The following is a 1,949-nucleotide window of genomic DNA, read 5'->3' as shown; positions in this document are numbered from 1 at the left end:
AAAAAAAAAAAAAAACAAATAAAATGATAAATAAATAAATAAACAAAATAAAATATTTAATTGTGGAGGAAGAAAGGGGAAAGGAAAAATTTTTAAAAATCAAATGCAAAAATATGGTCAGTTTAACTAAAGTTTGGGAGTACCAAGATGAATCTTAGACAGAGCTCTGTTTGTGGGCATGTCCAGAATTTCTGGAAAGGAAGACAGATGAACAGGAATTTCCTGGCCAGGCACAGTGACTCACGCCTGTAATTCCTGCACTTTGGAGGCCAAGGCAGGTGGATCACTTGAGGTCAGGAGTTTGAGACCAGCCTGACCAACGTGGTGAAACCCCATCTCTACTAAAAATTAGCCAGGGTTGGTGGTGCATGCCTGTAATCCCAGCTACTTGGAAGGCTGAGGCAGGAGAATCGCTTGAACCTGGGAGGCGGAGTTTGCAGTGAGCTGAGATTGCGCGATTGCACTCCAGCCTGGACAACAAGAACGAAACTCTGTCTCAGAAAACAAAACAAAATGAAACAAAACAAAACAGGGGTTTCCTATCTCTCCATGGCTGTTGCTCTGAGAGAGGCCAGTTCACCTGTTCATCTTCGTCCACTGCCCTGTGTGATCCCTGGCCCATGGCAGGCATCGGAGGGCTGATGCACACATCATTATAGCTTTTTAGCCTTCATAACAACCTTGCTCCTTGTGACCCATCTGGGCCTCTGAAGCTGCTTTCTTTCTCATGATACATTGAGTGGAGACTTCCAGGCAATTGCCTGGAGCGTGGGAAGGGAGTCTCAGGAAGCACACTTCTTAACAGAGATAAGGAAGATTTTATTTTTCTGCTTGAAGGCAATAACAAGAAAGATAACAAGTACAGCTGCTGCAGCTGAAACTTTGTCAACACAGCTACTATTGGTGATGCACTTACTGAGGATCCCATGCTAGAAAAGTGACTTGAAATGATGGTCTCTTCTGGTTGTAAGGGGAGGCCACTGTGGAGGAGAGGTGCAGGCAGTGACTGTATTAGTCGGCTGGGGCTGCTTGATGAAGTACCGTAGACTGGGAAGCTCAAACAACAGACATTTCTCACATCCTTGAGGCTGGAAGTCCATCAGCAGGGTTGGCTCCTCCTGAGGCCTCTATCCTTGGATTGTAGATGCCACTTTCTCCCGGTGTCCTCATGTAGTCTTTTTCCTGTGCACACATTCCTGGTGTCTTTCTCTCTTCTTATAAGGCCACCAGTCCTATTGGATTAGGCCCTACCCTTATGATATCATTTAACCATAATTACCTCTTTAAACATTCTATCTGCAGATACAGTCACACTGGGGGTTAGGGCTTCCGCCTGTGAATTTTGGGGAGCACACAGTTCTGTTCCTAACAGTTATCAAGCAATGTGATGGCTGCTGTGTTGGCGGGAGTGCAGGGCTTCCCTGAGCCTAGGGGAAGGTGACCTATGGAAGATCATTGTCCTCCCAGTGGAAAGGAAGGAGCAACCATTTCAGCAGGGGAAACATGGGTGCTAAAGTCAAATGAAGGAGCCTGGGCTGCAGGGGAGTGGCTGAGATGGGGTGAAAATGGAGAATTGGGAGGGCTTGGAATGCTACCTGTGGAGCATGGGGATGCCCCAGAGTGTAGTAACCAGAGATGAATGGAAATAATCAGTCTGATGGCTGCATGGACGCATCTGAGTTTTCTCTGGGCCGTGCATGTACTGCTGCCAGGCAGTGCCTCAGTGCAAGCCCACAATAAGCCCAGAGACGGCCCCAAGCTTGGCAAAAAAAACAAAACAAACAGAACAACCACCTCAGCTCTGACCCTGTTTGCAGCACCAGGACCATGATCCTTGGAAACTCTCAGTTGAGAGCAAAGGCCTTGGTTCCCTAGCAGCTTTTCAAAGAAGTTGCAAAACACTGAGTATGCTTTTGGGAACACAGGCCTCTCCCACCTTTCCTTTTCTG

The 1,949-nt window shown here is 47.0% G+C and overlaps 1 annotated feature.

Annotated features, from left to right (window-relative positions):
* Window positions 680–880: a silencer, noted in NCBI's record as "peak6511 fragment used in MPRA reporter construct". NCBI's record gives its function as "represses an SCP1 promoter by STARR-seq MPRAs in K562 erythroleukemia cells {active_cell/tissue: K562}" and the evidence as "EXISTENCE:reporter gene assay evidence [ECO:0000049][PMID:32103011]".

Source organism: Homo sapiens, chromosome 7 (assembly GCF_000001405.40).
Source record: "Homo sapiens chromosome 7, GRCh38.p14 Primary Assembly".
NCBI lineage: Eukaryota > Metazoa > Chordata > Mammalia > Primates > Hominidae > Homo > Homo sapiens.
This window is presented reverse-complemented; position numbering and strand designations above follow the sequence as displayed.